Genomic DNA, 12,375 nt, shown 5'->3' on the forward strand with positions numbered 1-12,375 from the left:
TCTCTTTGTCACATCTTCTGTGTGCTTCCTTTTCTCTCTTTTCTTGGCTTCTTTTGGTTTTTCTGTTTGTTTTGTTTTTGTTTTTTTGTTTTTGTTTTTGTTTTTGTTTTGGAAACAGGGTCTCATGCTCCCACCCAGGCTGGAGTGCAGTGGCAGCCAGGTTGGAGTGCAATGGTGTGAGCACGGCTCACTGCATCCTTGACTTCCTGGGCTCAAGCAACCCTCCTGCCTCAGCTTCCCAAGTAGCTGGGATCGCAGGCACATGCCACCGTGCCTGACTAATTTTTAAAAAATTTTTGTAGAAGCAGGGTCTTGCCATGTTGCCCAGGCTGATCTCAAACTCTTGAGCTCAAGCAACACTCCCACCTCGGCCTCTCAAAGCATCGGGATTGCAGGCTTGAGCCACCATGCCCAGACCTCCTGACATTTTTTGGATTTGTTTTTATTATTCCATTTTTCCGTACTGGAGATTAGAAAGAATATACTTACATTCTATTCTTTTAAAAGTAACACAGAAATGACAACAGGCACATTTTAAAGCATTAATGCTTAAAAATTCTTTTACCCTTCTCCTAGACAGAATAAGGTCCTTAGAACATTTTAACTCCGTTGGCCCCTCTCCTGACACATCCAGTATGTCATTATTACACTGAATGGTTTATATTAATATTTTTAAAGCCCTATATGATTATTACTGTTATTGTCAATAATGTTCTTTAGAATTAGTCACATATTCTCATTTTCTTTGCTTTTCATTCCTCCTTGCATGTCAGAACTTTGATGTTACTTTCTTTCTGCCTGAAGTACCTCCTTCAGAATTTCCTTTATCAAGGGGTCACTAATAGCAAACTCACTCTATTTCTGTTACTTTACAAGGGCCTCTTCCTTACCCTCCTTCTTTAAAAATATTTTTGCTGGATATAGAATTCTGTTGCTAGCTATTTTCTTTCAAAATATTGCAAATATAATTACACTGTTTCTCTTTTCACTTCTTGCTATTGAGAAGACAATGTTAATTCTACCTGGGTTAACATGTTAATAAATGTTCATTGATTAACACTGAATTCAACTTAATTGAATTTAATTAAGACAATTCAAAGGAGCTGAATTTAATGTTAATCTCTTTAGGTGAATTTAATGTTAAATTGAGTTTAATTGAATTTAATGTTAAATTGAACTTAACATTATATTCAATTAAATTGATTAACATTAAATTAAATTCAGCTCTAATTAACTTTTTTTCCTCTGTCAACTTTTAGGACTTCCCTTTGTCTTTGGTGTTCTGTAGTTTTACTATAATGTGTTAAGCTTTGGAAGTCTTTTTATTTGTCCTATTGATATTCATTGACTTTCTTGGGATTGGGGAAGGGCGTTCTTCTCAATTCTGGAAATTTTTGAGCTGTTACCTTTGCAGACACTGCTTTTGCCCAATTTTCTCTCCCCTCTCTTTTGGACTCGTATGTGAAAGCATGTGTTAACTCTTCTTTCACTTTCCTCTATTTGTCATCCTCTCTTCCATATATTCCATTTGTATTCTCTATATACTGCATACAAAATTATTTCTTCTGATCTGTATTTAAGACCCCTATTTCTCTCCTCAATCATTCTTATGCTAATTGTTCTTAAACCTATCCCTAAGTTGTGTAAATTAGTTACTGTATTTTTAATTTTAAGAGTTTTCTTCTGTGCTTGTTTAAATCTGCTAGGTCACTTTTTAATGGTTTCCTATTCTCTAAAAATATTTTCAAGTTTGCCTTTTGTTTCTTTACATTTGGAAAATATTTGGTCTATAATTTTTGTCTGTTAATTCCAATATGTGAAGCCATCATCTGTTTCTGGTATATGCTCTTTCCTGTTGTCCTTATTCATACTGCCTCACATGCTTGTATGCTTGGTTATTGGAAGTACTGAAATATGGAAGTAGGCTGGTGACATTGTCAAGCCTCTTTATTAACAAACAATAGACCCTGACTACTTCCAGATTTCTTGTCATATGAGTCACTGAATTTCCTTATTAAGATATTATTATCTAAATTTCGGATACTTTTATTTATAAATGTCCTGGCTGATACATTTTTTTAACTTTTGCCCATCTAATAGGTGGGAAAAATGGAATACCAGCTAATAGTGAGGTTAAACATCTTTTCAATATTTGACCATTTGGATTTTCTCCTCTGTAAAATTTGTTTATGCCCTTTCATTCTTTTTCATTTAGCATTTCCCCTTTCTCAGTCTCTCTCACGCACCCCCTCTCTTCCCCAACCCCCGTCTTGCAATTAACACACACACACACACAAACACACACGCGCGCACGCACACACGTGCGCGTGCTATTTATCTTTCAAATAGTTATCTTTTTCCAGTCATATATACTACAAGTATTTCTACATTTCTACCCAATATTTAAATTGTTTTCTGGTTTTATTTATGTTATCTTTTATCATTCATTTTTATTTTAGTTTTCATCAAGTCAATTATATCTTTCTTCTCCTTTTATAGCAGCTGGGTTTCCTATCTTATTTAAGAACAGTTCCATACTATAAAGTCATAAAAAATCTTTTTTTCTAAATTTTTCTCTGACATTTAAATTGTTTTATATTTCACAATTAGATATTTAATCAAGCTGTAATTTATTTTTGTATATGGTATGACACTGTGGTACAGTCTTGTTTTCTTCCAGATGGATAGATAATTATGCCAGCATCATTTCAAAAATAAACTATCTTAGAATTTCCATTTTTGCCAAGTTACACTTTAGATGTCCACAGAAACCCTTCTTGCTACAGTACACATAAAAATGCTGAATAAAATATCAATAATTTTTTTCTATTTTATGATAAAGCTGGTGCGAAAATAAATGAATTGCTCGACAGCCAAGAATAAAGTACAAATCCAGAGAGGGGATTGAGCACTGTGGCTGCCTTGATCCTGGAGGCATCTGCCAGCTCTTGGTGGTGAAGTGCTCAGTTTACCACACTGTATCACGAGGCTGGGAAATAAAATATGGTTCCCGAAACAGTGAAAGGTCAGATCAGCGATTCTTGCATAAATCAGACAACTAAGAATGGCACTGCCATGAAAACAAAACAAGACAACAAAATAAAAAGTTCTACAGAGACAGATAGGGTATATGCTTGTGTGTCTCAAGCCCAACTTTGGGTAAAGCAGAAAAAAGACAAAAAAACAATCTGAGAGTTCCTCACTACAAGTGTGTATCCCTTACAGGCAGGCTTAGAGTCAGAATTCACTCTATTACTTTGGCCCCAAAAACCTAATCAAAACACTGAATGGTTTTGGGTTGGTAACACCCCCCAAGAAGCTGGCAGAAGCTAATATAAATCTTCTCTGGAGGAACAAATTTTAAATACGGGCTTCAAAAGTTTTCTTCAGATAAGGTTTCCCAAGACCATGAGCTCACAATAAAATAAATCATTAAAAAACACAAGGAAAGAAGTCACCAAGAATATGAATCAGCAGAATCAAAAACAGCAGAACCAAACCCAGAGAGACTATAGATATTGAAATCATCAAAGATTCAAAACTTTGAAAATATGAAAAAAAGGGTTTAAGAGACATGTTGAATAGAGACAGAAGGCCGAAATTACATGAAATCAGGAAGGAATTGTGAGGAGAATTGAGGGGGACTGATTAGGGGGCTTACAGACAGAAACCACTGTAAGGATACACACCTACTAGGGGGAGACGGGAGGGGAGTCATGAGCTCTAGTCAGGAGAAAAATTTTGTCACACACACAAAAAATAAAACAAAGGCCCAACCATAACAAATAGGATCTAAGTACAGAACACAGGACCAGCTGAAGCATGAGACTGTTACTGCACTTACATCAAGTCAGCTACCCAGAAATGACCCCACCATCTGGGGTGACTGATGAAAGAGCCAGAGAGGCAAGGATCCACTTGGCTTTCAGGTGAAACTGTAAAGGGAAGTCCGAGATTTTGTCCGGCCTCTTCTGGTCACCTCCCGACCTTTCTTCTACTGTGTAGTACATGAACATGATGCAGACTATCAAGTACTGTAGAAATATCACACTGTCTACTTTTCAGAGTACATTTCTATATTTCCTGTTTTGTGATCACTTTGAAATTGACAAATCCCTACAGGCAGAGGGGGAGATGTCAATCACACTCACTGGTGACACAGAAACAGTGGAGTTGTTGGCACTAGCTTCATCATCCAGTGCTCAGCCTGAAAGTCCGCAACTTTTTCAAATAAAAAGGTTTGCATCTGGCCAGGTACAGTGGCTCATGCCTGTAATCCCAGCACTTTGGGAAGCTGAAGCAGGAAGACTGCTTAAGGCCATGAGTTTAAGATACGCCTGTGCAACATTGTAGGACCCCATCTCAAAAAAATAATTTTTTTTTTGAAATTAGCCAGATGTGGTGGCATGTGCCTGTAGTCCCACCTACTCAAGAAGCTAAGGTAGAAAGATCGCTTGAGCCCAGGAGTTCAAGGCTGCAGTGAGCCATGGAGCAAGACACTGCCTTAAAAAATTTTTTTTTAATTAAAAACAAGCTTGAGTTCAATTAAATGTTCCGTAGCATTTCTTGTAGACATTAATTAGTGGCCAGACAACACGTATCTTCCCTATTATAGATAACATTTGAAAACCAATTAATGCAATCCATCATATGAACAGACTAAAAAAGAAAAATCACATGATAATCTCAATAAACTCATGAAGCTACTTTTTAAAAATTTAATATCCATTCAAGATTTTAAAGAGAAACTTTCACCAAACTAGGAATACAAGTAAATTCCCTCAACTGATAACAGGCATCTACAAAAAAATCCACAGTTAACATCATACTTAAGGGTAAAAGAATGAATGCACTCCTCCTAGAATCAGGAAAAAGGCAAGGATCTTCACTCTCACCACTCCTATTCATCATTATATTGGCTGTCCCATCCAGTGCAAAAACGCAAGGAAAAGAAGTAAAATTCTGTATCTTCTATATATCAGAACAGAAGATATACATTGGTCTATATTCATTGATAAGATGATTATGTATGCAGAAAATGCCAAAGAATCTAGAAAAAAGCTACTAGAACTAATATAAGCTATTTTCTTTTCTTTCTTTCTTTTTTTCTGAAATAGTGTCTCACTCTGTCACCCAGACTGGAGTGCAGTGTGGCACGATCTCAGATCACTGCAACCTCTGCCTCCTGGGTTCCAGCAATTCTCCCGCCTCAGCCTCCCAAGTAGCTGGGACTACAGGCGCGTACTAATTTTTAGTAGAAATGGGGTTTCACCATGTTGGCCAGGCTGGTCTCATACTCCCAACCTCAAGTGATCTGCCCACCGTAGCCTCCCAAAGTGCTGGGACTACAGGCATGAGCCACTGCACCCAGCCTATAAGTTATTTTCACAAGCTTTCAGGATATCATAAATAAAATAAGAGGAAAATTACTTTTATTATCATATACTAGCAATTAACATTTAGAAATTGAGATATTAAAAATACCATTCACACTAGCATCAAAAACATGCACTAGAGATAAAGTCAACAAAATATTTATAAGACCTGTTCTCTGATAACTACAAAGCACTGCTAAGAGTAACTGGAGAACTAAATAGGTGAAGAAAAAAAAATACTATGTTCATGGATTAAAAGTTCAATATTGTGAACATGATTATTCTCTGCAAATTAATCTATATATTCAACTCAGTTTAATCAAAATCTCAGCGTGTGTTTTTGTAGAAATTGTCAAGTGGATTATAAAATTTAAATAAAAATGCAAAGGACTTATAATAGGCAAATCAATTTGGAAAAACAAAGTTGGAGAATTCACAAAACCTGATTTCAATACTTACTATAAAACTACAATAATCAAAACAGTTTGACGATAGTATAAGGCATATAGAACAACTGAACAGAAGAAAGAGGCCAGAAATATACCCACATATATAAAGTTACTTTATTTTCAACCAAAGTGCCACCATAACTCAATGAGTAAAGAATAGACTTTCAATAAATGATGCTAGAAGAACTTCAAATCCATATGGAAAAAATAAAACTCCACCTTAACCTCACATAATAACACAAATTAAGTTGAAACTGAATGCAAAGATTGAAACTAATTGTAAAAACTGAAATATTAAAACTTCTGGAAGAAAACATAAAAACACATATGAATTTTGGGTAGACAAAAACTCAGGACATGAAACTAGTAAACTATCATAATTTTTTTAAAAAGATAAATCAGACTTCATCAAAATTTCAACCTTGTGCTCTGTAAAAAATACCTTCAAGAAAACAAAATGGCAAACCACAGAATGGAAGAAAATAGTCACAATTTATCTATCTGATAAAGGACTTGTATTCAGAATATATAAAGAACTCTTCCAATTCAACCAGAAGAAGATAAAAAAAAAAAACCCGCCTCCTGGGTTCACGTCATTCTCCTGCCTCAGCCTTCCGAGTAGCTGGGACTACAGGCACCCACCACCATGCCCGGCTAATTTTTTTTGTATTTTTAATAGAAATGGGGTTTCACCAGGTTAGCCAGGATGGTCTCGATCTCCCGACCTTGTGATCCGCCCATCTTGGCCTCCCAAAGTGCTGGGATTACAGTCGTGAGCCACCACACCTGACCAAAAAAACTCAATTTTTAATAAACACTCAAATAGATACTTTATAGAGGAAGATACATAAATGATGACCAATATGCATATGAAAAATAATTTAACATTATTAATTATTGGGAAATGCAAATTAAAACCACAATAAAATACCAATACAAAAACCACTTGAATGACTAAAATTAAAAAGACTGATTATACCAAGTGTTGGCAAGAATATGTACTAACTGAAACTATCACACATTTCTGTTAGGGATATAAAATATTATAAGCAGTCTGAAAACTATTTGGGAGACTATGAAGTTAAGCATATACTTATCATGTGACCCTGCAATTCCACTCAGGTATTTTCAAAGAGAAATAAAAGCACGTATCCAAAGACTTGTACGTGAATGCTCATAACAGCTTTGCGAATAACAGCCCCACATGGAAACAATCTGAATGCACGTCAATGGATGAATGGATTTTTTAAAATTGTAATATATCCATAGAATGGGACATTATTCAGCAATAAAAGGAGTAAACTACTGATAAACCCAGCAACATGAATGAATCTCAAAAACATTATGCTGACTGAAGAAAGCCAGTTCCTCCCCCTCTTAAAAATGTTTCATAATGACTCCTTTCATGGGAAACTCTAGGAAAAATAAATCCCATCTACAATGATAGAAAATAGATCAGTGGTCTAGCCCTGGTGGAAGTGGGACTGAGAATATTTTGAGGTAATGGAGATGTGGTGGTGGTTACATGGGCATATGTGTGTGTCTAAACTCATCAAACTACATAGTTAAAATGTGTGCATTTTAAATGATAAAGGTTTGAGATTATGAATATGCTAATTACCCAGATCTAATCACCTGCTGTCCTCCCACTGTTCATCACACATATTCTCGATAAAGAAACTATTTTTTTGTAAATAAATAAATAAATAATAAAACATGTGCATTTTATTATACCTAAATTAGACCTTAATACAGTTGATTTTTGAAAAAGAAAGACTGGTTACTGATTAACTTAAGGGTAGAACATATAGACCTCTCAGTACTTTGGTAGAGCTTACAGTTGGGCTGGGAAGGACCTACATTCTAGCTGCATTAGGTACGCTTGATTTGCCCAATTGCATATGAGACATCTTGCCCTCTAATACCTTTTGTTATAGTCAAAGAATGTAGTCTTGAGGATCATTCACTATTGGGAAGATACATTACAAGTCACTGCCACAGCTAAAGAGGAGACTCTCCTTTTTACCCCTAAAATCCTTTGTATTTGGCTATGGAGAAGACCATTAAACATAAGGAGACTTCACTTTAAGGTGTCTCTGGAGCACAGATAAACTGGGGGATAAAATATAAGGAAACAAGTGCCCATAATAGATCCCAGATCACCACCAAAGCAAGGAAGTCTATGGCATCTGAGATAGAGAGAATAAGTGTGGTCTAAAATCCACGACTGCAAGTAGTGTTCAGGGATGAAATATGCCAAGTATAACTTTTGAGGTTGCAATATACATGATAATGCCTTACAACAGTGTTTCCAAGGTTGGGACAAGTACTAGTGCTGGTACATGGAATTACTTTAAGAGTTTTTTTTCTGAGATGAATTGGGATGGCAAACAAACATGATATTACATAACACTGAATCATATTATGATTCCTTCTCTTATTCTCTTAGTTTTTTTGGATTTTGTAAGAAAAAGTCTCCTTTCCTGCTAATATGTCTTTTACACTTCTTCTCTCTTTTAAAAAAGAGAAAATGCAAAATACCTAACTGAAATGCAGGAGCATTGTTTGTTTGTTTACATAGTTATCTTCTATTTAGGGCAAGTACACTGGTTTTTAATTGGTGGTAGTGATATTATATTTTATAAAATAAATGTTTTTCAATTAAAAGGTGGTTAGTTTATTTAAAAAATAGGTAAAAAGTACTTTAGTGGTATACTGATATGATGACATATGAACACCTGAGATTGGATAACATTGCCTTAAAATGTTAATTTGTAAGGAAATATATGTATCTCTGTTATAGATACATCTGTATTGATAATCATTAAATTATTGTTATATTAAAAATCTTAAAGAAATTCAATAGCAGGACTATTTTCACATCATAAACTAGTTTTAAATTCAGAATTACATGTCCCTTAATGTGTCCCAAAGTTTCAGATCCCAGGTTCCTGATAAAGGGCCAGATCAGGATTTTTAGCTTCTTATAAATTGGGATAAAGCACTGTATAATATGACGAAAGGCAGAAATATATCTGAACAATGATGAAGGGTCGAATTCCATTCTGCCTCTATCTCTCTGGGGTGTGCTCTCACTTGAATGTGGGTAGATAAAGAAGATATGCAGAGGATATCCCTGAAAAAAAGATTCTGTCCCCAGAAAAGTTGGCAATCTGCTATTTTTAGTTATGCTCTTTTTCTTCTCAGTATGTATTTCAATGTCTTTTACACATGATCTTAGCCGAAAGGCCAAGAAGCAATCTCAATTTCTTTTTAAAAACTCCATAAAAATTTACATTTGACTTTAGGTTCATTAATCATTTCAAAAATACAATTCACGTGGACAAATTTCTTCAAAATTGTTACGTTATTGTCAATGTTTTGACAATGATGTGCAATTTTTTAAAAACTCAACCTCAGCTAGACTCTAGAGAATTTTACCAGCCAAAATCAAAAAGAGAACTGTAAAACAGATTTTCCTATTTAAAGAAACATAAGACAGTTTGATTCCTACCATTCTTATAGTTTCCCAAGAGTAAAATTAAATTCGGAATGAACAAAGATAAACCCCTTACCTGTTGGAAGGTGCAGTGTTATGTTGTTGCAAAAATCTGTGAAGCAGCATTCGGTTTTGGTAACATTGTTGGAACTATGACAGAAGACTTGAGCATTCAGTTCTGGAAGGGAGACACAGGATTTGATCACCTGCTCTTTTCCATTGGTTAGCATGACTGATGCCCAACATGCTCCTTCTGTTTGGCAGGTGAAGTTTGAAGAATCACACAAAAGACATACACACTTCAGTCCTGGAAAGAGTAAGGCAAAAAGATTTAAAATACAAAAGACATCATGCTACTTTATTTGATAATACCTGGGAATATAAATTCAATCTTAATGAAAATGGAAAAAGGGTTTAAATAAAAACACTTGCTAAACACATGCTAAGCAATTACTCCCTCTCCATCATATATTTCACTAAACATCCTGTCCAATTATCATTTACTTTTGCTAATATTTTTGTGATTTATTCCAGTTGCTACTATATTTAAAGCATTTGCCTCATCCATGCTCTAAATACCCCCATATTAAGTTCAACCAGCTCATTCCTAAATCAATAGCTCCTAGGAAATGCTAGGAAACAGTATCACAGCAACCAAGGGGAGCTGTCCAGCAATACTCATAGAACATTAAAGTGGGGTTATGGCAGCTGTGTAACCAAACAATTCAGTGTGTTCTGTTCATTTGCCCTCCTTCCTTTAAACTTTTAAGCAAATGTGCTAAACGCAAAGCTAACCATAGATATTTATGTCTCTAAAAAAATAGTTGTGACACTTTATATTTATTTTCTGTGACACTTTAACACAATTGTTATTGTCGTAGTTCCTTTGAGGCATTGGTGAGCCACTATATTTCCCCTCCTCACTAAAGAACGTATACTAGAATGAATCATTTGAACAGACACCATGACCTTCAGGTAATTTTCTTTAATGCACACATCTAGTCCATAAAGTAAGGCAAATCAATAATAGAATTTAGAATATCTATACCAATACAACTGTGAAAAATTACACTTTGTTAAACTAATCTGTTCACTGTCTACACCTCCCCAACATTCTCCACTTACTACACACACACACACACACACACACACACACAAACACATTCACCACTAACTCACATGTCCAAAGTGGTGCCTATTTATGTTTTGATGTAAAACATTCGTCAGCATGAAGCGCCTAGTGGTTGAGTTATTTATTCAAATTTCATTTAAATATATTGTTTCTAAATAGTATAATACTAAATAAGCTTTGTATTATTGTTTTAAAATTCTTTAAATTTCAATAGCTTTAGGAGTACAAGTTGTTTTGGGTTACATGGGTGAACTGTATAATGGTGAAGTCTCAGCTTTCAGTGTACCCATCACCCAAATGGTGTACATTGTACTCAATAGATAATTTTTCATTCCTAACCTCCCTCCCACCCTCCCCCACCTCCTGAGTCTCCAATATCCTTTACGTCTCTCTGTATGCCTTTGCATACTCATAGCTTAGCTCCCTTTTATTAGTGAAGACATGCAGTATTTTATTTTCTGTTTTCGAGTTACTTCACTTAGGATAATGGCCTCCAGTTCCATCAGAAGTCGCTGCAAGAGACTATTTCATTCTTTTTTATGGCTGAGTTGTATTCTATGATATATATGCCACACATATATACACAAATACATACACAAACACACCATATATATATATATATATATATATATATATACGTGTGTGTGTATATATATATATGTACATGCTCATACACACACACCACATTTTGTATTCATTTTTTGTATTCATTTATCGGTTGATGGGCACTTAAATTGATGCCATATCTTTGCAATTGTGAACTGTGCTGAAATAAACATACACCTGCAGGTATCTTTTTGACACCCAATTGTGGGATTGCTGGATCAAATGGTAGTTCCATATTTAGTTCTTTGAGAACTCTCCATACTGTTTTCCATAGACACTGTAATAATTTAAGTTCCCATCAGCAGGGTATAAGCATTTGCTTTTCACCATATCCACACCAAACATCTATTGTTTTTTGACTTTTTAATGGTGACTATTCTGGCTGGGGTAAGCTGGTATCACACTGTGATTTTAATTTGCATTTCCCTGCTGATTAGTGATGTTGAACATTTTTTCACATATTTGTTAGCCATTTGTATGTCTTCTTTTGAGAAGTGTTTGTTCGTGTCATTTGCCCACTTTTTAATGGGATTATTTGCTTTTCTCTTGCTGATTCTCTTGAGTTCCTTGTAGATTCTGGATATATCCTTTTTTGGATGTATACTTTGCAAATATTTTCTCCCATTCTGTAGGTTATCTGTTTATTCTGTTAATTATTTCTTTGGTTGTGCAGAGATATAGATGACACAAACAAATGGAAAAACATCCCATGCTCATAGATTGGAAGAATCAATATTGTGAAAATGACCATGCTGCTCAAAGCAATCTACAGATTCAGTGCAATTCCTATCAAAATACAACATTTTTCACAGAATTAGAAAAAATATCCTAAAATTTTTATGGAATCAAAAAAGAATCTGAATAGCCAAAGTAATCCTAAGCAAAAAGCACAAATCTGGAGGCATCACATTACCCAACTTCAAATTATACTATAAATATAGGGCTACAGTAACCAAAACGGCATGGTACTGGTATAAAAGTAGACACATAGACCAATGAAACAGATTAGAGAATCCAGAAATAAAGCTACATACTTACAACCAACTGATCTCCGACAAAGCACACAAAAACTGACACTGGGGAAAGGATACTCTATTCAATAAATGGTTCTTGGAAAAGTGGATAGCTACACATAGAAAAATGAAACTGGATCCCCCTCTCACATTATACAAAAATCAACTCAAGAGGAATTAAAGACTTAACTCAAAGCCCTAAAACCAGAAAAATTCTAGAAGAAAACCTACAAACTATTCTCAACATTCTCTAGGTAAAAAATTTATGACTAAGACCCCAAAAGCAAATGCAACAAAAACA

At 35.0% G+C, this 12,375-nt stretch overlaps 1 protein-coding gene across 4 annotated transcripts in view; it reads right to left on the reverse strand.

Annotated features, from left to right (window-relative positions):
• The window catches only part of ACVR1C (activin A receptor type 1C), a 102,098-nt gene that overhangs the window by 51,021 nt on the left and 38,702 nt on the right, over positions 1–12,375 (reverse strand). For all 4 annotated transcript variants that reach the window (NM_001111033.2, NM_001111032.2, NM_145259.3 and 1 more), the window contains exon 2: positions 9,400–9,630. In NM_001111033.2, the coding sequence (NP_001104503.1) occupies positions 9,400–9,630 (231 nt within the window). The remainder of the gene's footprint in view (positions 1–9,399; positions 9,631–12,375) is intronic.

Source organism: Homo sapiens, chromosome 2 (genome assembly GCF_000001405.40).
Source record: "Homo sapiens chromosome 2, GRCh38.p14 Primary Assembly".
NCBI classification, from domain to species: Eukaryota; Metazoa; Chordata; class Mammalia; order Primates; family Hominidae; genus Homo; species Homo sapiens.